The sequence below is a fragment of the Homo sapiens genome, chromosome 15 (genome assembly GCF_000001405.40).
Source record: "Homo sapiens chromosome 15, GRCh38.p14 Primary Assembly".
NCBI classification, from domain to species: Eukaryota; Metazoa; Chordata; class Mammalia; order Primates; family Hominidae; genus Homo; species Homo sapiens.
Window position 1 is genome coordinate 26406921 of NC_000015.10, and position 24110 is coordinate 26431030.

Genomic DNA, 24110 nt, shown 5'->3' on the forward strand with positions numbered 1-24110 from the left:
GCTATTTAGACTTAGCACATCTTACAGGCTACAATTTTGTACCATAGTCTTTTAGAGGAATCCATCATTTTAAAATCCTCAGATTCAGGAGGTATATAGGACCAAGCTATAGGAATTAGGAGAGTGTCAATAAAAACTGTTGTGCATATCTTTTCACAGTTAGCAAAATTCTCAACCATGACTCTGCAACAGAATCCCCTGGGAACTCTAAAAATGCTTATGCCCGGGCCCTCACTGTATCAGAATGTCCGAGGTAGGGAGAAGTCTGCATATTTTCTCAAAGATCCCCTAGTGATTCTAATGTGCACCCAGGAATAGTACATTTAGCTTTTCTGCAACTAAATGGATCAAGAGATTAAATTGCAACACCCAAAAACCCTTGGCAATTTTTCATTAGCATACCACAGTCATAATCTCTTCCATTAGTATATGTACAGAGACCAGGAACTAGGTATTGTCTCCATGGAATTACCTTCCATGGAGAAGATAAGGGTGTCAATAGCAAGAAGGTGATGAAGTGAAGGCAAGGGTATCATGCACACCGTATCTTAGTTCATCTGAGTTCCTCGGCTGTAAGCAGAATGTCGTTCTGAAAATAGCACAATCAAGTGAGATACCTTGAGCAAAAAAAAAAAAAAAAAAAAAAGGAGATGGAACTGCCTTCTCAGCACATCTCCTTTCCTAGTACATGATTGGTTTCTATTATCAACTATAAATCAAGTTTGATTTAGAGCTATGTTCTGCTTATATCAGGACTTTTCAGTTACTCTATCAGAATTCCTTAATATGATTTTATTTTTAAAAGTTAATTCAAAAAGTGTATTTCTGGGAACCTATAGCAATCAGTCTTGCTTTTATTGCAAATATGTTTATGTGTATATATATAATTTTTTTCAATTCAAAAACCGATGGAACTTCCTTTAACCGTAACCACTAAAATGTCAGTAAATGCAGTAACTATCTGACTTGATGAGACTCTCAACCAAAACCCAGTCTTTCCAACATATAAGCTGTCCAATAACAGGATTGATTGACAGCTTTCATAAGAGGAGTTTCCACAACAGGAGCTTCCACATACATTACCAGGCTTGCGCACTTTGAATTGCAGCCTTGTCACAAGACACTCTAAAAAGACTGATTGGTTCTGATGTACCTAAAAAAGGAGACTTGCCAGCATGTATCAAAATACAGAGAAAAGTGGAGTATCCTCATGCAGCACCCTCTATGCTCTATTCTGTAATATTAATACCAAGGAGAGTTTACCCGGAAACTGTCAGATTTCTTTCTTTCTTTTTCTTTTTTCTTTTTTCTTTTTTTTTTTTAGACGGAGTCTGACTTTGTCACCCAGGCTGGAGTGCAGTGGTGCGATCTCGGATCACTGCAGCCTTCGCCTCCCTGGTTCAAGCAATTCTCCTGCCTCAGCCTCCCAAGTAGCTGGGATTACAGGCATGCGCCACCATGCTTGGCTAATTATTTTGCATATTTAGTAGAGACAGGTTTTCACCATATTGGCCAGGCTGGTCTTGAACTCCTGACCTTGTGATCCACCCGCCTCGGCCTCCCAAAGTGTTGGGATTACAGGCGTGAGCCACCATGCTGGCCCTAGATTTCTTAAGACAGACAAGAGTCAGCCTCAGGAGAAAGATTAGCCTTTTGAGAAGAACTGCTTGGACTTAACTTAAGGGACTATGGTTACATCCAAACCCCACTAGAAATATTCTCACTAGATTTTAAAACAGGACTTATTTTGTTTCTTAATTAATCAATATATTCAAAAGAGAACAGGGTTATCCTTCACAAAGAATGAAACAGTGATGCCTCCTGCCTGACGTTTTCCTCTGGCCTTAGACCATGCTATGCAGCAGAGGCTTAAAAGTGGTTGGGGCAACTCCTGCTTCAGTGAGAATGTCTAAAATTCATGTCCACAGAAAGGTATACAGACCAAGCATGTACTCTTCACAGAGAGTATGGTATCAAAAATTGGAGTGCCAGGTTTTTCTAAATGTTAATCCCATAAGAAATAAAAGATTTGGCAGCACCATGGGTAATATGAAATGAGTGGTGACAGGTGACCCTAGAATAAATGAAAGAAGCAACATTTTTTCCTTGGGTTGGGATGCATTCATGGAGAGTATGTAACTTAGTAATGACAGCAGGGTACCAAAGCGAAACTCCAAGACTGCAGGTAAAGATCGGCCATATTATGCTTAACAGTATTCAGCTCACAGTGCAGACCTATGTAGAGGAGCCAAACCGGGATTGTTTTATGTTCCCAAATTGCCAGGACTCTTTGTGTTGTAAAAATAACAAAGATGATGATGATGATGATAGTTAACATGTATTGGATGCATAATATGTATAGGCTCTGTTCTAAGAACTTCACTGGTGATATCCCTATTTAATCCCATAACAACTGTAGAAGGCAGGTATTATTATCTCCCCATTTTACAGATAACTGAGTCGCAGGGACATTAACTTTTTTTCTTTCTTTTTTTTTTTTTTCTATAAGAATGTTTTAGCCAGGCACCGTGACTCACTCCTATAATCCCAGCACTTTGGGAGGCCAAGAGGGGGCGGATCACCTGAGGTCAGGAGTTCGAGACCAGCCTGGCCAACATGGTGAAACCCCATCCCTACTAAAATTACAAAAATCAGCTGGGTGTGGTGGCGCATGCCTGTAGTCCCAACTGCTGGGGAGGCTGAGGCAGAAGAATCACTTGAACCCGGGAGGTGGAGGTTGCAGTGAGCCTAGATGGCGGCGCCACTGCACTCCAGCCTGAGTGACAGAGCCAGACTTCATCTCAAAAAAAAAAAAAGGAATGCTTTATTAGCCAAAACCGCATACTATGAAAATGCTTTAAAATGCGACAGGATGTGATGTGAAGACATAAAGGATGTGATGTGAAGCACAGTGACACATGGCTATCAGAACACAGAACACATGGCTATCAGAACACATAAGTAAAGAATCCACACTGCCTCCACTCTTTACCTGGTAAAGGAAGGACCTAGGCCACCTCCTCCTCGGCACACTCCTCCTCAAACTCTCCCTCCTCCTCAGCTGTGGCATCCTGGAACTGTTAGTACTCAGACACCAGCTCGAACACATTAATGTCCCTCAATCTCAGTTACCTGTAAAATACCTACCTGTCCTATCATATAACTAGTAATGATAGGAATAGGAATAAAACCCAAATAGAAATCCTGCATCTATGCTACCCTAAATAGCAACTGTGCTGTAAAATACTTGCAGTCTACCCTGCTTTCAAGAAATAGAGCAGGCTGGGAATCATGGCTCATGCCTGTAATCCCAGCACTTTGGGAGGCCGAGACGGGCAGATCATGAGGTCAGGAGATCGAGACTATCCTGGCTAACACAGTGAAACCCCGTCTCTACTAAAAATACAAAAAAAAAATGTTAGCTGGGTGTGGTGGCCGGCGCCTGTAGTCCCAGCTACTCAGGAGGCTGAGGCAGAAGAATGGCGTGAACCCGGGAGGCGGAGCTTGCAGTGAGCTGAGATTGCGCCACTGCACTCCAGCCTGGATGACAGAGTGAGACTCCATCTCAAAAAAAAAAAAAAAAAAGAAATAGAGCAAAATTGTGCACACAAACGAATGGCACTTTCCTGTATGTGCAGCTGGCATAGCACCTGGCTACGCTCCTCACAAGGCCTGCCTTGGCCACTTCTCCCTCCGCGTGCCCTCGGATCACACAACCTTCCACATAATCATTGTTATGTAAAGATAATCAGTTCCTGGAGCTCAAGTATTTTTCCTGACAAATGTCTCTCTTGTGGTATTTAGACAATAGTTATTATTTGTAATAGAATCTGGCATTCTGGTAAAAGTTAATTGACATGGCCCGAAGAAGTAATAAGCATATGCAGATTAAAGTATTTCTTCTTTGTCCACATTTCAGGTGACATTTTTCAGATGCCACACTTAAAGGGATAGGATTAATGCTCTGTGGATGTATCCTCTTCCTTTCCACATCAAAAGAAAGGCTGTGCAATCTGCTACCACCATCATTCTGGGGTCACAGATGATGATGACACAGAGCAATGAACTAGATGATCACAGTCACAGAGTGAGGGAAAGAGACTAATCTGCATGGTCTTCGTCCGTGCACCACAGGCTGTGCAGGAAGCTGGAGGGTTGTGACCACCTCCAATGCATCAGGCCACATGCCCAACAGAGCAAGTGGCAGGCCCCAAGCACGTTGTCGTTACAGCCTCACTCCAGAGCTGCTTCCTGGGGATTTAAGGTAGGAAAAAAAAGCAAGCAAAATGTTAATCCTATAAGAATAAAAGATTTGGCAGCACCATGGGTAATATAAAATGAGTGGCGGTAGGTGACCCTCGAATAAATGAAAGTGCCGTTTTCCCATTTATCCATCCATTCATTCTACAAATATTTACTGAGCATGTACCATGAGCCCAGCAGACATAGCCCCTGTCCGCAATATGCTCAAAGATTACTGAGGGCATAAATAAGAAAATCACCAGGCCAGGCACGGTGGCTCACGCCTGTAATCCCAGCACTTTGGGAGGCTGAGACAGGCGGATCACAAGGTCAAGAGATGGAGACCATCCTGGCTAAGATGGTGAAACCCTGTCTCTACTAAAAATACAAAAAATTAGCCAGGTGTGGTGGCGGGCACCTGTAGTCCCAGCTACTTGGGAGGCTGAGGCAAGGAGAATGGCGTGAACTAGGGAGGCAGAGCTTGCAGTGAGCCGAGATCACACCACTGCACTCCAGCGTGGGGGACAGAGCGAGACTCCGTCTCAAAAAAAAAAAAAAAAAGAAAAGAAAATCACCCATGTGATTTATGGGCACAGAAGGGGCACTCCTAACCCAAAACCAATGAAGCCATTCTTAAAGAGGCCACCTGAGAGCTGAATCTTGAGGGACTGGTAGTGGTAGCCAGGACCCCAGGCAGAGGTGCTGTCCAGATGAGGATGGAGCAGGTGAAATGCTTGAACAAACACGACCTGCTAAAGAAGCTTGATGAGACTGAGGCTGAAGAGTCATGTGAGGCTGTGTCTGGGGGAGAAGAGAACAGTGGGACCAGATAATGAAGAGCCTTGTGAAAGAAGTTATCTTAAAAGCAACCAGGTTGCAGTGAGCCGAGATCACGCCACTGCACTCCAGCCTAGGTGGCAGAGCAAGACTCTGTCTCAAAAAAAGTCCTGAAGAATATTACAAAGGAGAAGAGCACTATCTAATTTGTACAATTCTGAAATAACTGCAGAGCCTATGCAGAAGTGATTGACAAGTAAGAAAAGCATTTTAGAGGATTATTACTTTGGCACAGGGAAAAATCCTATTGAGGTTTGAAACTGGAGAAAGTAGTAGTGGTGACGGATTGAAACATGGCAACTGACATGATATGTGGGATCAAAGAGGAAGGCTGACTCACAGGTAGGGTTGGTACCTGAATGGGAGATGGCAGTGCTAAGGGAAGAAGTATGTGGGGACTTTAACCGTGGGCCAGTGGCGCAATGGATAACGCGTCTGACTACGGATCAGAAGTATGTGGGGACTGAGGATAGGGAGGATAACATTACAACCTCAGTTTAGGGTAGGATGCTCAAACAGTTTGTAAGAGGTTGAGACGACTCTAAAACACTGTGTCTAAAATTAAAGGAGGAGGACAGAGTTAGAGAAATCTGCAATTTTTTTCTTTGCAATAAATCATGGATTAAGTCATGGGGGTGCATATGTTGGACAAAGTAAATGTTTTCTCATACTGACGAGATCCAAAGGCAGAACCCTGAGGAACACCAGCCTTTACATGGCACCAAGAAAGATAAGGCAAAAGAAAGATTGGTTGAAAAATAATGGCGTAAGTGGTTGGAAGAAAGCCAGCAGAGTGTCACAAAAAGCAGTGGAGGCCTTCCAACTTTTGTTCAACCACGTAAAGCACTGAGGTCACAAGAAAAATCACCACTACAAAATCAGGAGAATCTGGCATATCCCAAGAGATACAGGACTCAAGAGTTGCTTACCTGGAGCAGAAGGCATCAGATGCCAGATGTGAGCAGGAACACTTAATAACAATTCAGATGATTTCCCAGAAGCTGAGGAGCTCCCTCAGTCTGAGGGGAACTCCTGCATTTTCCCAGGCTTTTCCTCTAGGATCTCTACCAAGTTTTCACAGGAGGATCTGGGAGAGCTCTCAGCATGACCTGGCAGGGGGTGGGAGGACTAGCCATCCTGAACCCTCCCAAATCCTTCCACAAACAAATGGCAATTCTGAAACCTTGTTTTTGTTGGGGGAAGAAACCTCTGCCCCATCTAGGCTGCTCCAGCCTTCCTGTCACACCAAAAGGAAAAAAAAGCCACAGTCAATAGAGGAGAGGGCATAAAGAAAATAGCCTGGGAATGCTCAGCACCTTGGGGGCCACTCCTAAGACATTTCTGAGGGACACATCCCTGAGTCACAGACCCACTAAAAGACTGACGTGTAATCAGAAGATCAGAGAATACCTTTCTCCCTCACATAATACCGTCAAACCAACAATCCTCCATTAATAACAGTGGATTGCAGTTTAAATTGCTGCAAGACACAGAGTCTCTAAGGAGCAGTACAAAGAGAAACCCCAAAGCCAAAAGGAGAGAAAAAGCAAGCCCAGTAGAATCATTTGAAGGCTCTGCTACTATACCTACATCAAACATGAAACACAGCCCAGCAGATATTCAAATTACACACTAAAGGCATTCATCTCAGTAATTGTTACTCTATAAAACATGGGCCAATTTCTGGGCCAGGTGCAGTGGCTCATGCCTGTAATCCCAGCACTTTGGGAGGCTGAGGCAGGCAAATCACAAGGTCAGAGATCGAGACCATGGTGAAACATGGTGAAACCCCATCTCTACTAAAAATACAAAAAAATTAGCTGGGCATGGTGGGATGTGCCTGTAGTCCAGCTATTTGGGAAGCTGAAGCAGGAGAATCGCTTGTACCCCGGGAGGTGGAGGTTGCAGCGAGCCGAGATTGCGCCACTGCACTCCAGCTTGGCAAAAGAGTGAGACTCCATCTCAAAAAAAAATAATAATAAAAAATAAATGGGCCAATTTCTATAAATATTAAAAGCCATGCCAATAGGCAAGAATAAACACAGTCTGATGGCACAAAGTAATTATCAGAACAAGGCTCAGATATGACACAGATGTCAGAATTATCAGACAAGGAATTTAAAATTACTATGACTGCTATAGTTGGGATATGGTTTGTGCCCACCAAATCTCTTGTTGAAACTTGATCCCAGACATTGGAGGTGTGGCCAGGTGGGAGGTGTTTGGGCCTCAGAAGTGGATCCCTCATGAATAGATTAGTGCTTTCTTTGATGATGGGTGGGTTGAGTGAGTTCTTTATTAGTTCTCTCAAGAATTGGTTGTTAAATATACTCTGGCCCTCAAAAAAACAAAAATAGAGCTACCATATGATCCAGCCATCTCATTGCTAGATATGTAGGCTGAAGAGGAGAAATCAATACATCAAAGAGATATCTGTACTCCAGTGTTCATTGCAGCACTATATAGTATAGCCAAGATTTAAAGCAACCTGGCCAGGCGCAATGGCTCACGCCTGTAATCCCAGCACTTTGGGAGGCCAAGGCGGGTGGATCACCTGAGGTCAGGAGTTCGAGACCAGCCTGCCCAATATGGGGAAACCCCATCTCTACTAAAGATACAAAAAATTAGCCAGGTGTGGTGGCATGTGCCTGTAATCCCAGCTACTTGGGGGGCTGAGGCAGGAGAATCACTTGAACCCAGGAGGTGGAGGTTGCAGTGAGCCAAGATCATGCCATTGCACTCCAGCCCAGGTGACAGGGCGAGACTCCATCTCAAAAAAAAAAAAAAAAGAAGATTTAAAGCAACCTAAGTGTCCATCAACAGATGAATGGATAAAGAAAATGTGGTATATATACATAATGGAGTGCTATTCAGTCATAAAAAGATAAAAAGGAATGAGATTCTGTCATTTGCAACAACGTGGAGGAAACTGGAGGTCATCATGTTAAGTGAAATAAGCCATTCACAGAAAGACAAACTTCACATGTTCTCACTTATTTGTGGGAGCTAAAAATTCAAACGATTGAATTCATGGGGATAGAGTGTAGAAGGATGGTTACCAGAGGCTGGAAAGGATAGTGAAGTTGGGGGAAGTGGTCGTGGAGGAAGTGGGGATAGTTAATGGGTATAAAAATACAGTGGCCGGGCGCAGTGGCTCACACCTGTATTCCCAGCACTTTGGGAGGCCAAGGCAGGCAGATCACGAGGTCAGGAGTTCGAGACCATCCTGGCTAACACGGTGAAAACCTGTCTCTACTAAAAAATTAGCCGGGCATGGTGGCACATGCCTGTAGTCCCAGCTACTTGGGAGGCTGAGGCAGGAGAATGGCTTGAACTTGGGAGGCAGAGGTTGCAGTGAGCTGAGATTGTGCCACTGCACACCAGCCCTGGTGACAGTGAGAAACTCTGTCTCAAAAAAAAAAAAAAAATATATATATATATAGTTAGAAAGAATAAGATCTAGTATTTAGTAGCACAATGGGATGACTATAGTCAATAATAATAATTGTATATTTTTAAATAACTAAAAAAGTATAATTCAATTGTTTGTAACACAAAGGATAAATGCTTCAGGTGGCAGATAGCCCATTTACCCTGATGTGATTATTACACATTGTATGCCTATATCAAAGTATCTCAGGTATCCCATAAGTTATGTACCTGCAAAAAATTAAAAATTAAAAAAATAGCCTGGCACCTCTCCCCCCCACACCAGGTGATCTCCAGATAGACCAGTTTCTGTTTGCCTTCCACCATGAGTGGAAGCAGCCTGAGGCCTCACCAGAAGCAGATGCTGGTGTCATGCTTCTTGTTCAGCCTACAGAACCGTGGGCCAAATAAGCCTCTTTATAAATTACCCAGCCTCAGCTATTTCTTTATAGCAACACTAAATGAACTAAGGCAAAGACTAATATGGTAAAGGTACTAATGGAAAAAGTAAATAACATAAAAGACCAGATAGGAATGGTAGCAGAGAGATGGAAGCTATAGAAATCAAAAAGAAATGCTAGGAATCAAAAGTAATAGAAATGAAGAATAACTTTGACAGGCTCATCTGTGGACTCAACACAGCTGAAGAAAAAAATCAGTGAACTTTAAGATAGGTCAATAGTTCACAAATGGAAACACACACACACACACAAATACAAATAACAGAAGAAAAGTTCCCAGCACTGTGGCACAATATGAAAAGGTGTGACATGCACATTTTTGGAGCACCAGAAGGAGCAGAAAGAGAATGGGGCAGAAGAAATCTTTGAAGAAATTATGACGAAGGAGTTTCAAAATCAATGACAGATACCACATCACAGATTCAGGAAGCTCACAGAATAACAAGCAGAGTATAAAATTAAAAAAAAAAACTAGAAAACACATATTCAAGCCATAAAGAAATAGACAAAATTTTGAAAGAAGACAAAGGGACAAAACAACCTATCTACAGAGGAATAAGAATACAAATAACAGCAGACACCATCCAAGAAAGAAAAGATTGGAGTAAAATATTTAAGAAAATAAAAACCCTGCCAATATAGGATTTGATATCCAATAAATTTTTTATCTTATTTTTATTAAAAGTGAAGGAAAAATATTTCTCAGCAAAGAAAATCTGATCCGGTTCATTGACAAGTAGACCTACCATACAACAGATGTTAAAATGTCTTCAGGCAGAAGGAAAATGACATAGGTCAGAAACTTGTTCTCACAAAAGAGAGAAAGTATCAAAAGAAATAAATGAAAGTAAAATAAATATTTTATTTTTCTATTCTTAATTGAGCTAGAAGAGAACTGTCTGAGGCAATAATACTAACATATTGAAGTTGACAGCATATAGAATAATGAAATGAATAACTTCGTAAGGGATAGAAGGGAAATTGGGAATGCTCTGTTATAAGGTACTAGCACTACACATGAAATAATGCTATTTGAAGGTGGACTTAGATTGTTTTAAAATGTATGCTATAAACCCTAGAACAATCACTGCAAAAAACTTATAAAGTATAATTGATATATAAAGAAAGGAGGCAATAGAAACTATATTTTATATAGTTTCTATATATAGTTTCTATATATAGTTTCTATATATAGTTTCTATATATAGTTTCTATATATAGTTTCTATATATAGTTTCTATATATAGTTTCTATATATAGTTTCTATATATAGTTTCTATATATAGTTTCTATATATAGTTTCTATATATAGTTTCTATATATAGTTTCTATATATAGTTTCTATATATAGTTTCTATATATAGTTTCTATATATAGTTTCTATATATAGTTTCTATATATAGTTTCTATATATAGTTTCTATATATAGTTTCTATATATAGTTTCTATATATAGTTTCTATATATAGTTTCTATATATAGTTTCTATATATAGTTTCTATATATAGGGTCTATATATATAGTTTCTATATATAGTTTCTAGAAACTATATATAGAAACTATATAAAATATGCAATTTAAAACCCTAAAGGCAGAAAAATGGGGAGAAGAAAAAAGAACAATGCGATAGAAAACAATTACTAAGATATCAGGTTTTAATCCAACTATATTCATTACCACTTTAAACGTTAATGGTCAAAATATACCAGATAAAGGACAGAAATTGTCAGATTGGATATATAAAAAAGACCCAACCATATACTGCTTAAGAAAACTCACATTAAATGTAAAACTCAAACGAGTTACAAGTAAGTGAATTGAGGAACATATACTATGCCAACACTAATAAAAGAAAGCCAGAATAGTTACATTGCTTTAAGACACAGCTGAGAACAATGAAGATTACCAGGCATGAAGAGTGATGTTACATAATCATAAATGAGATCAATTCTCCAAGAAGACATAAAAATCCTAAAGTGTATGCACCTAAAAACAAGCACCAAAATATATGAGGCAAAAACTTGTACAACTAAAAAGAAAAACAGACAATTTCACAATTATATTTGGAGACTTCAGTCACTGATAAATCAAGAAAGCAGAAAATTAGTAAGGATGTAGATGATCTGAACAGTACTATCAATCAACTTGATCTAACTGATATTTATAGAAACTTCTTTCAACATCAGCAGCATACATATTCTTTACAAGTGCACATAGGACATTCAACAAGATGGACCATACTCTGAGTTTAAAACACACCTTAATACATTAAAAACAACAGAAATCATACAAAATACAATCTAATAGCTCAATAGAATTAAACTAGAAATCCACACCAGAAAGATATCTGGAAAATTCCCAAATTTTAGGAAGTTAAACAATCTATGAGTCAAAGGGGTATGAAGAGAAATTTAAAAAAATATTTTAAACTAAATGAAAATGAAAATGTGGCTTATCAAAATTGATAAAATGCAGCTTAGACCATGATTAGAAGGGACTTGTAGCATTAAGTGCATATATTAGAAAATAAGAGAGATCTAAAATAAATAATCCAAGCTTCTACCTTAGTAATAAGAGACAAAAAAGATCAAATTAAACCTAAAACAAGCAGAAGGAACTAAATAATAAATATTAGAGTTAAAAATCAATAAACTTGAAAACAAAAGGAATCAAGAAATTCCATGAAACCAAAAGATGGTTGTTTGAAAAGATCAATAAAATTGACAGTTCTTTACCCAGACTAATCAAGAAGTAAAATACAGAAGGCATGAATTACCAATTACTACTGATTCCAATTATTAAAAGAATAATAATTAAAATAATAATAAAAGCTATTAACAACTCTCATCCCATAATGACAATTTAGATAAAAGGACCACTTCCCTAAAGATGCAAACTACCAGACTCACATGGAAATAGATAACCTGAGTAGCCCACATCTCTTGATGAATTGAATAACCAACACAATGTTTAAAGAAAGGAAGAAAGTTGGAGGATTCACATTACTCGATTTCAATACTTACTGTAAAGCCACAGTACTAAAGACAGCAGGGTATTGGTTATAAAAATAGACACAATTATCAATGGAACATAACAGGGACCCTGTGCAAACAGACCCACATAAATACAGTTGGCTGATTTTTTTAGAAAGGTGCTAGAGCACTTCAATGGAAAGGACAGCGTTTTCAACAAATGGTGTTGGGGCAATCGAATATCCATACACAAAAATATGAGCCCTGACATAGACCCTATACCTTACAGAAAAATCACCCAAAATGGATTATAGACCTAAATTAAAATGCAAAGCTGTGAAATTTATAGAAGAAAATGCAGGAGAAAATCAGTATGACCTTGTGTTTGGTGACAAGTTTTTAGATAAGACAACAAATGCATAACCCATGAAAGAAAAAATTGATCAATTAGACTTTACTAAAATTAAAAACTTTTCCAGGTTGTGGAGAAAAGGGAAGGCTTATACACTGTTTATGGGAGTGTAAATTAGTTCAGCCATTGTGGAAAGCAGTAGGGTGATTCCTCAAAGAGCTAAAAACAGGACTACCATTCAACCCAGCCTTCCCGTTACTAGATACATACCCAAAGAGATATAAATCCTTCTGTCATAAAGACACATGCACACAAATGTTCATTGCAGCGCTATTCACAATAGCAAAAACATGGAATCAGCCTAAATGCCCATCAATGATAGATTGGATAAAGAAAATTTGGTACATATACACCATATAATACTATGCCGTCATAAAAAAGAACAAGATCATATATTTTGCAGGAACATGGATGGAGCTGGAGGTCATTATTCTCAGCAAACTAAGGCAGGAACAGAAAAGCAAATACCACATGTTCTCACTTATAAGTGGGAGCTAAATGATGAGAACACATGGACACAAGAGAACACAGACACTGGGGTCTAGTGGTGAGGGTGGAGGATGGGAAGAGGGAAAGGAGCGGAAAAAAATAACTAATGAGTACTAGGCTTAGTACCTGGGTGACGAAATAATCTGTATAACAAACCCCCATGACACAAATTTACCTATATAACAAACCTGCACATGTACCCCGAACCTAAAAGTTAAAAAAAAAAGAAAAAAGTTTCCACTGCCAAAGATACTGTTAAGAGAATAAGAAGACAAGGCACACACTAGGAGAATGTGTTTGCTAATCACATATCTGACAAAGGTCTTGTATCCAGAATAAACAAAATATCCTCAAAATTCAACAATAAGAAAACAATTGAATTAAAAATGAGCCAAAGTCTAAATTATGATGTGTTTTTATGTTGATTTCATTGGATTTATCCTATTTGGGATTCTCTAAGCTTCTTGAGTTTCTAGGTTTATGTCTTTTACCAATTTGGGGAGTTTTCAGCTATTATTTCTTTAAATATTCTTTCAGTTCCACTCTCATTCTTTTCTTCTGCAATTCCAATGATACAAATGCTGGAATTTTTGTTATTATCCCACAAGCCCAAAGGCTCTACACTTTTTTTCCCCAGTCTTTCTTTCTTTTGTTCAGATTGAGTGAATCTTTTGATCTTTTTTCAAATACACTGATGTTACCCTCTGTCATCTCCAGTCTACTTTTAAGCACATCTGCCAGCATTAAAAAAATTATTAAATTCTTCAGTTCTATAATTTCCACTTGGTTCTTTTTTATAACTTCTATTTCTCTGCTGACAAATTCTTATTTTTAAAATTTGCCTCAAGATAATTTTGTAATTGCTTATTGAAGCATTTTATGTTGGCTACTTTAAATTCCTTGCCAGATAATTCCAGCTTCTAAGTCATCTTGTTGCTGATATCAGCTGATTGTCTTCTTATTCCGGTTGTGACTTTCCTGGCTTTTGGCAAGACAAGTGATCTTCAGTTGTGTCCTGGCATTTGAGATATTATATTTTGAGACCGTAGATGCTATCTTAGCTTCTTCATTGGCAGGCAGCCTCACTGTTCAGTACAGAGGTCGTGGCCTATTTTTGTGGGCCGTGGTTCCAGTGAAAGTAACATTTTCAAAGCCTTTCCAGTGCTATTCCGGTTGGCTTGGTTTATGGGGTGCTGCTGTGGTTCCCATGGGATTCCCTGGTGCTTTCTGAAGTCACAGAGAGCCCTCCCCAGGCAGGACTTCCCAGAGAAGAAGGGAGTCTCTGGCCTGAGGGAAGAAATGACTTCTCAGCCCACTTGCTCCAGTGGGATTCCCATTGCAGTGCTGCTCACCCCCAGTGGTCTCTGTGGGAGGGAGTGGAGTCTCAGGCCAGGAGACAGAGGCTTTCCAGAGGCTCTCTTGGGTGATTGTTGTGGCTGAAATTTCTGGGCCAGCACTTCCTGGCCACCTGGTGTCTCTCCATGGGGGAGGGAAGTCTTAATTCTGCCACTGGAGGCAAGGCTTGCTGGGCTGGGCACTTGTGGCAGGATCCCCTTCCCAGGACTTCCTGGCCATCTGCTCAGTGTCTGCCAGTGGGGAAGGGCATGTCTGAGAAGGCGTGACCCCTGGCTCCTTTTTGTTAGCAGGGCTCTTTACAATTGCACCATTCTTACTGACTCTTTGTATATCGTATACACAATAAAGTGTTCAAAATAAAGGTAGCCATTGCACTAACATTGTACTAATTATCACAAAGTCAACACCTGTGGGAATATTTCCCAGGTCATGGAATAGAATATTGCCACCAACCTGGAAACCACCAGTGTTTACTACCAATTACTCCTCCACCCCCACACCGGCCCCTCACCTATTTCTCCTAAAAGTTAACTGCTATCCTGATTTTCTGGTAATTACTTTCTTGTTCTTTTTTGTTTTACTGCCTAAGTGTGTATCCCTAAACACTTTATTTAATTCTGCCTGTGTTTCGAACTTCATATACTCTCTTTTTTTAATGAGGTTTTGTTCAACATTGTGTTAGTATGCGTATGGATGTTATATATTTTCAGAGGGGATATATACATATTATATACATACACATAAACACACTATATATACATATATGAGTGTGTGCATGTGTTTAGAGAAAGGTGTGAAAGGATTCATATCATATTGATGATAGTGATACCTCTAAAAATGGAACTAGAAGTGTCAAAAGCTTTGGATGAACTTCAACAGCTATGCTTTATCAGTTTTTTTACTGAATGAACTGCTTTACAATTCCCAGAAAGATAGTAGAACTAAATTTTAAGCTCTTTAATTCTCTTTGAGAATGTGTCGAGTCTTTGACTTCAGTTACACACCATATCAATGCTTTAAAAGCCATATGAAACCTCAGCACATTGAAGTAAGAGTAAGCTTGTTACTAGCTCTGTACAAATGGAACATTCTACATTTTAGTAAGGGTTTTGAACTCTTTTCTCAAGTGCATACAGGTGCCAGAGAGAGAACTCACATTAGGGAAGCGTCAGAAGAACTGGAAAAGAAGAATGACACACACGAGCTGGCATCTAGCCTTATGTTAGGGATGCAGTAGTGAGTAGTGGGCTCTCCAGCAAAGGAGAAAGCCCCTGACCATTTGAAGGGGCAGCAGCTACTCAGCTGAGCCAACTTTGCCTTAAAGAATGTGGACCAATTGTTGCCTGAATCGGATTCTTCTTTCTCCTGATATTTTAGCTGCCAAAGAGTCTTGGTACTGGCTTGGACCCAGCATTGCTTGCCCCCCACACTGCTTACTGTTGCTGTTGGTTCCATGGTTAGGTTAGTTCCTGTAAATTCATTTCCTATCTTCCTCTTATACGTATTTCTCCAGTAGCGAGGTCTTCTCACGCCCCACAGCTAAGCCTAGTAAAATCCCACATGTAGGAGGGTTTACAAGATTTCTTTCTTTCCTCTTAAAACCTCCGTTGTACAGTAAAAGTGGGATAAACTGCCCTGTCCAGGTGCTAATCTCAGGGCTGGAAGTACAAAGATGAAAAGAGTACCCTTTAAACATCTCATAGTTAACAGTCCTTTTGACGAAGTTTCCCCAGTCATGCTTTGGCCGGATGAACTTGGCTCCTTGGAGAGGGGTTCATGAGTTCAGTATTCTCTGAGCGCCTACCTATTTAAAACCTTTCTTCTATAGCCTTACTGTTTAAAAGACAGCTTGACTGGATATAAATCCTTTGTTCACACTTTATTTTCTGGGGTGTCTTAAAAATGCTTCACCTTTATTGCCTTGAGTTGTGTGTTGCTTTTGGAACGTCTGGCGCCTGCCCCTTCTGTCTTTGTAGGTTATTTGGTCTTTTTCCTGGAGGCCCTGAGATTTCTTTTTTTCTTCATTTTAAAGTCTGAACATTTTAAGATATGTCTTACAGTTAATCGTTCTGGGTTAGTTTGTCCATGTACCTTGAAGCTTTTTTCAGTATGTTGACTCCAGTCTTCTTTCTAAAAATGACCTTGGATTATAGTTTTAAATACTGGTTCTATTCTATCTTTTTGTTTTTGATATTCAGGGATTGCAATTATAAGAAGGCAGGATCTCCTGTACCCATTTTCTATTTCAACTCTTTTGTCTCTGATACTTTTTATTCCCCCTTATTTTCTGAAATTGAAAATTGACAAATTATGGTTGTATATATTTATGAGGTACAAAGTGATGTTATGACTCATGACTACAATGTGGAATAATTAAATTAATCTAATTAACATATCTATCACCTCAAATACTTATCATTGTTTGCAGTAAGAACTTTTGAAATGTATTCTCTTAGCAATTTTGTAATATAGGATACACTGTTAACTACATTTATCACACTACACAATAAATCTCAACAAAAACCAGTTATTTCTCTTTTCTAACTGAAGTTTTGTACTCTTTGACCAATATCTCCCTATTCCTCCTACCCCACCCTCAGGTGACAACCATTCTACTCTCTGCTTTTGTGAGGTTGATTGTTTTAGACTCCATGTGTAAGTGAAAGCATTGGGTATTTGTCTTTCTGTGCCTGGCTTATTTCACTTAGCATAATGTTCTCCAATTCCATCTATGTTACTGCAAATGACATAATTTATTTCTTTTCTAAGGGTGAATAGTATTCCATTATGTATATACACCACATTGTTTTTATCCATTCACCTGGGGATGGACAGAGGTTGATTCCATAACTTAGCTATTCTGAATAATGCTACAATGAAAATGGGAATGCAGAAATACCTTCAACATACTGATTTCAAATCTTCTGGTTAAACACCCAAAAGTGGGATTGCTGGATCATATAGGAGTTCTAGTTTTATTTTTTTGAGGAAACTCCCTACTGTTTTCAGTAATGGCTATACTAATTTATATTCTATCAACAGTGTCCAAGAGCTCCCTCTTCCCCACATGGTTGTCAACATTCCTTATCTTTTGTCTTTTGGATAATAGCCATTCCGACAAGTGTAAGGAAATATCTCATTGTGGTTTTAATTTGCATTCCCTTAATTATTAATGATGTTGAGCATTCTTCATGGATCTGTTGGCCATTTAGATGTCTTCTTTTGAGAAACGTCTTTTCAGATCACTTGCCCACTTTTTAAATTGGGTTTTCTTTATTTCTATACAGTTGTTTGCATTGTTTATATGTTTGGATTTTTTATTAGATGTATGGCTTGCAAATATTTTCTTCTAATTCATAGATGATCTCTTCATTCTGTTTTTTTTGTTGTTATTGTACAGAATCTTTTTGTTTTGATGTAACTTCATTTGTCTATTTTTTGCTTTTGCTACCTGTACTTTTGAGGTCAAATCTAAAAACTCATTGCCCAGACCAATGTTATATAGCTTTTTCCTTATGTTTTCTTCTAGTAGTTTTATAGTTTCAGGTATTTATGTTAAGTCTTTAATCCATTTTGAGTTATTCAAATATAGGGTATGAGATAAGGATCCAATTTCATTCTTCTGCATATAGATATGCAGTTTTCCCCAATACCATTTATTGAACAGACTATTCTTTTTCTATCATACATTCTTGGCACCTTTGTTGAAAATCAATTGACTTCACAAGTGTGGGTCCATTTCTGGGCTCTCTATTCTGTTCCATTGCCTGATGTGTCTATTTTTATGCCAGTATCATGTTCTTTCAATTATAATCACTCTGTAGTACAATTTTAAATAAGGTAGTATGATACCTCCAGCTTTGTTCTTTTTGCTCAAGATTGTCTTGGCTAGTCAGGGGTTTTTGCTGTTCCATATGGATTATAAGATTTTTTTTATTTCTATGAAAAGTTATATTGGAATTTTCATGGAGATTGCATTAACTGTAGATTACTTTGGATACTACAGACAATTTACCAATATTAATTCTTCCAATACATGAACATGGAGTACTTTCCATTTATTTGTGTCTTCTTCAATTTCTTCAATAACTGTTTTATACTTTTCACTGTACTGGTCTTTCACCTTCTTGGTTAAATTTATTCATAACTATTTTATTTTATTTTATTTTATTTGCAGCTGTTATAAATGGGATTGTTCTCTTTATTATCTTTTCAGATCGTTTGTCTTTATTATATAGAAACATTACTGATTTTTGTGTGTTGAATTTATATTCTGCAACTTTATTGTATTTTTTTATTAGTTCTAACAGTTTTTTGGGGGAATCTTCAGGGGTCTCTAAATAAAAGATTATGTGTCAGCAGTGACAGTTTCACTTCTTCCTTTCCTATTTGGATGCCTTTTATTTCTTTTTCTCGCCTAATTGCTCTGCCAAAAACTTCTAATACTATGTTGAATAAAAGTCATGAAAGTAGGCATCCTCTTGTTCTGTATCTTAGATTAAAGGGTACCAACTTTTTACCATTGAATATAATGTCAGCTGTTGGCTTATCATATATGGCCTTTATTATGTTGAAGCACATTCCTTCTGCTCCTAATTTGAGAGTACTTATCCTGAAAGGATGTTGATTTTTGTCAAATGCTTCTTCTGTATCTAATGAGATGACCATATGATTTTTGTCCTGGATTTATTAATATGTTGTATTATGCTTATTGATTTGCATATGTTGAACCATCCTTGCATCCTTAGGATGGACCCACTTGATCACGGTGAATGATCTTTTTAATGTGTTGTTGAATTCAGTTTGCTGGCATTTTGTTGTTGAGGATTTTTGCATCTACGTTCATCAAGGATATTGGCCTATAATTTTCTTTTTTTGTAATGCTCTTTTCTGGCTTTGATATCAGGGTAATGCTGGTCTTGTAAAAAGAGTTTGAAATTATTCCGTCTTTGATTTTTTGGAAGAGTTTGAGAAAGATTGGTATTAGTTCTTCCTTAAATGTTTGGTAGAATTCAGCAGTAAACTCATCAGATCTGGGGCTTTTTTTTTTTATTGGAGACTTTTTATTATTGATTCAATCTTTTTACTCATTATTGTTCTGTTCAGATTTTCTGTTTCTTTATGGTACAGTCTTGGTAGTTGTATGCATTCAGAAATGTATTTCTTTCTTCTATGTTATCTGTTTTTTGGCATGTAATTCTTCTTAGTCATTTCTTATGATCCTTTGTATTTCTGTGGTATCAGTTATATTGTCTTCTCTTTTATTTCTGATTTCATTTATTTATTGTCTTCTCTCTTCTTAGTCTAGCTATATGTTTGTTACAGTTTAATAAAGCAAAATTGTAGTTTAAAATTAACACAGGGAAACGATGCATGGGGAAAAGTCCAAGAGAAATCGAGTGCAAGCTTCCAGGTGTCCTTTCCAGTAAAGGCATGCTGATGCAGCTAACTATTCCAGCAATGATGGCTGACAACAGGTACAAAGTGTACCGATCAGGGAACTTCACCTGAGCCTTGAGTCCAGGGTTGTTATTGGAGGTTAGTTATGTAGCCATGCAGCAACTGCATTACATACCTCTGCTACCCAGACTCCAGCCCCCCAGAGCAAAAACAGGCAATCGCCATAAGCCACAGTTATTAGCATAAAATACCTGATCAAACTTACACAGTGTGGCACAAGGCCTCAGGCATACCAAATCACTCTTATCAGGCCGAATATTCCTAGGGCTCAGAGCTCATCTCCAAGGATGTAGCCAAGGGCCAGTTCTTAAAACAGGGTTTTTTTTTTTTTTTTTTTTTTTGGAGAGGGGTGGTGCGGTGGGAATGTGCAAGGTTTGAACAACCTAGGTCTGTTGAATTAACTCTTGCCTGCATAGGAAGGAATGGACTATGAGTCCTTTCTATTTTTTCTTTTGTCTGTTAAATTCTTAAACTGTTCTTCTTTACCACCCCATACCCACAGGGCTCATCTTCCTTTTCAACATTTTTATCCACTTCCTACCTCCAGAAGCAATGCATGCATGTTTGGGGCTATTATCTCAGACCCCATGGAATTTTAAATCTCCTCCCTGAAATCAATTCTGTGATCTAGGGCTGTACTTCAGGCTGTGATTTCTGTTCCATCTTAGGCTCTCTTTTGTTTCCTCTCTCCTTCACAGGTTTAATCAGATTCCTCCTGTTTGCCCCAAATGCCTGCAAGCGGAAGCTTCAGCTACAGCTCTGCTGAATTTGGTGTTTAAGTTTTACTTACAAGTATTTTAGAGTTTTTAGTGCTCCCAAACTTCTAGTTACGATTTTTGTGGAATTTTTTTTAGTTGCATTTCTTTTTCTTATTGATGTGTATAATTATGTGTTGTTAGTTGATTTTTGTTTGTTTTGGGTTTTGAAGAGAAATTGGATAGAAATAGTTGCCACGGTCTTTCTCACTATTCTTTTAGTGGATACCCTCCTTCCTTTGTTTTTTGGTACACAGGCAATATGTGTTAATTGGATTAGAAAATTAGGAAAATCAAAAACTAAACGAAAGAATGCAACACCAAAAATGTAGCACCATATGCATACATTTATGTTCATGCTTCAGGCCTTCCTGCCCCTCTGTACATATAGATATGGATATAGATACAGATATACTTTTGTATTAAAATACTTTTTTTTTTTTTTTTTTAGACAGAGTCTCTGTCACCCAGGCTGGAGTGCAGTGGCGCAATCTCAGCTCACTGCAAGCTCCGCCTCCCGGGTTCAGGCCATTCTCCTGCCTCAGCCTCCCAAGTAGCTGGGACTACAGAAGCCCGCCACCACGCCTGGCAAATTTTTTGTAGAATACATATTTTTAAAAATGGAATTCTTCTATATATATCTTGCTTGGTAAAGTGATTATTTTCACTTATTATATTATAAAAACATTTTGCTGTTAAAAATGTATATATCCAAATAATCCCATTAAGTGGCTCTCTTGTATAAACGCATTTAACATACCAGTTGTGGTTGGATATTGCAGTTTCCCCAATTTTTCTCAATATTTATAAAGAAAAATTATAGCTCCTTTAAGAGGTCCTATGTTCTCATATTTTTTATTCCTCTATGCAAATGATAATATATTTAAATTTTCATGTAGACTTTGTTAATATGGCTATTAATATGACTTGCTTTCCATACCAGCTTTGTAAGATAACAGGGTAGGTCATTAATTATCACTGCCATTAAACAATTTGAATAGCTCCTGTTCAGCTTACTCTGCAGTCTTTTTCCCTTGACTTCAGCACCAACACAGGAAAAAGCGAAATGCAAAAGGATCTCTTCTTTGATTTCTGAAATTGAAACTTTAGTGGTTTTAGTAGAGTTCCTGTTAATTTTAGAGTTTTCACTTGTGAGATTATTCAGAAATTCATTTTGAATCTTTTGAGAGCTATTTCAGTAAATGCAAATCAGATAACAGGTAAGAATTTTGCTATTGCAGTCAAAATAATGAAAATTATTGCTTGTGAAGTAGTTTCAGTGGCAGGTGCTGTTTCGTATAATTGGATCCTTTGAAAGGAAACAGAAATACGCACAAAGGAGTACATTTTAGAATTAAATAAAAAACTTCAATTCATTACTTATTTTATTTTTCATAATTGCTTATTCAGTTTTGAACTACTGATTGAAGTTTATACATTTTCTTTCCTTGGTGTTGCCTATAATTTATTACCATATGTATTTGAAAAAATCAACAATTAATCAATGTCCGTATCCTTCTAAACAAGGTAATAGTCTCAGTATGAAATCACGCCCCTACCTCTGCCTCCCCCATGTTATAATCTGGCATTTTATTGCCAGATTTATATTGTAAAGCTGAAAAGCAACTCATATAAGGAAAAATATCTTTCACTAATGTCATTGTTCATCATTTGTTTCTGTTCTATTTCTTCCTCATGTTATTTTTTCTTGCTGAAATATAATTTCTGCTCATTTTCACAGAAAGAGTCTATCAGGATAAAAGTTCTGAATTCTTGATGATCTAAAAGTCATCATTTGCTCTTACATTTGAATGCAATTTTACTGAATATAGAATTCTAGCTTAAAAGGACCCTTCTTCCAGCATCTTAAAAATAGTCTTTCATTATCTTCTTTGGTTCACTGTTTTTCATGAGAGACTAATTCTTGCAACTTTGTAGGTTATCCTTTTTTTTCCTCTCTTTGGTAGCTTTTAGAATTCTTTGCATACTTTTTGTTAAATTTGATTCCAGAAAATTATCAGCCATTGAAAAACATATATTGGCATATGACACACATACATAAAAGTTCAGAAAATATAAACACACAATTGATGACTTAGTACAAAGTTGAACAATTTGTCTAGCACTGTGTAACACTACCCAGGAGAAGAAAAAGAAAATGCCAACACCCCAGAAGCATCACTTATGTCAGGGGTCAGTAAATCAACAAAGAGGAATTACCTCAACTTGACAAAGAAGCTCTACAAAAAACTATGGTATATATCATACTTAATGGTGAAAGACTGAATATTTTCCACCTAGATTGGGAATAAGGCAAAGATATCTACTCTCATCACTTTTATTCAACATAGTGCTGGAAGATCTAACCAGTGTAATAAGGCAAGAAAAAGAAATAGAAGGCTTACAGATTGAAAAGGAAGAAATAAAACTGTCCTTATTTCAAATGGCGTAGTGGTGTACATAGAAAATCTCCCGAAATATACAAAAAAAAGCAAAAACTCCTAGTACTTTTAAGTGTTTTAAGCACATCACAGGACACAAGATCAACACACAAAAGTTAATCACATATCTATATAATAGCAAGGAACATACAGAAACCAAAATTGAAAACACAATACCACTCACCATCACTTCAAATTAAATGATATACTTAGATATGCATGTAACAAAGCATGTATAGATCTGTATGATGAAAATCGTAAAATGCTAATGAAAGAAATCAAAGACTTAAATAAATATAAAAACACACTGTGTTCATGGACTGAAAGACTCAACATATTAAGAGGTCAATTCTCACCAAATTTATCTATAGTTTTCACATAAATACCTATGAAAGTCCTATAAAAGTTATTTATAGATATAGACCAGCTTATTCTAATATTTATATGAAAAGAACAGAACCTAGAATAGCTAAAACAATATTGAACAAAGAGAAAAAAGCAAGAGGAATCACTATACCTTGTGTTAAAGCTCACTATAAAGCTACACTGATCATGATAGTGTGGATGTGGATAGACACATAGAGCAATGGAATAAGATAGCAAACTCAGTAATAGACCCACAAAAGTAAGCTCCATTGATTTTTTTTAAGAGATGGAGTCTTGCTCTGCCACCCAGCCTGGAGTGCAGTGATGCAATCATAGCTCACTGAAGCCTAGAACTCCAGGGCTCAAGTGATCCTCCAACCTCAGCCTCCTGAGTAGCTGAGACTACAGGCACACACCACCATGCCGGGCTATTTTTATTTTTTATTTTTATTTTATTTTTTGTAGAGACAGGTTCTCAGATTCTTGCTGTGTTGCTCAGGCTGATCTCAAACTCTTGGGTTCAAGCATTCCTCCTGCCTCAGTCTCCCAAAGTGCTGAGATTACAGATGCATCCCACTGTGCCTGGCCTTGATTGGTTTTTTAAAAGTTTTATTTTATTTATAATTGACACATAATACCTATGTATACTTAGTTGATTTTTGACAAAGGTACAAAAGCAATTCAATGAAGGAAGTATAGCCTTTCAACCAATGGTCCTGGATCAATGGGACACCCACAGGCAAAAAAGGAACCTCAACCTAAACTTCATATCTTATATAAAAATTCACTCAAATGAACCACAGACTTAAATTTAAAATGTAAATCCATAAAAGTTTTAGAAAACAATACAGCATAAGATCTTTGGGATCTGTCACTAGGTTGAGTTCTCAG

General features: G+C 37.8%; 2 long non-coding RNA genes across 7 annotated transcripts in view, besides 1 other annotated feature; one reads left to right on the top strand and one right to left on the bottom strand.

Annotated features, from left to right (window-relative positions):
• LINC02248 (long intergenic non-protein coding RNA 2248) overlaps window positions 1-24110 on the top strand; it is a 94817-nt gene that overhangs the window by 11864 nt on the left and 58843 nt on the right. The window lies entirely within an intron of this gene.
• LOC105370740 (uncharacterized) overlaps window positions 1-24110 on the bottom strand; it is a 74705-nt gene that overhangs the window by 3487 nt on the left and 47108 nt on the right. The window lies entirely within an intron of this gene.
• Window positions 3826-4615: an enhancer, noted in NCBI's record as "H3K4me1 hESC enhancer chr15:26655893-26656682 (GRCh37/hg19 assembly coordinates)". NCBI's record gives its function as "activates a minimal SCP1, AML or CMV promoter by ChIP-STARR-seq in primed H9 embryonic stem cells {active_cell/tissue: H9 hESC(primed)}" and the evidence as "EXISTENCE:reporter gene assay evidence [ECO:0000049][PMID:30033119]".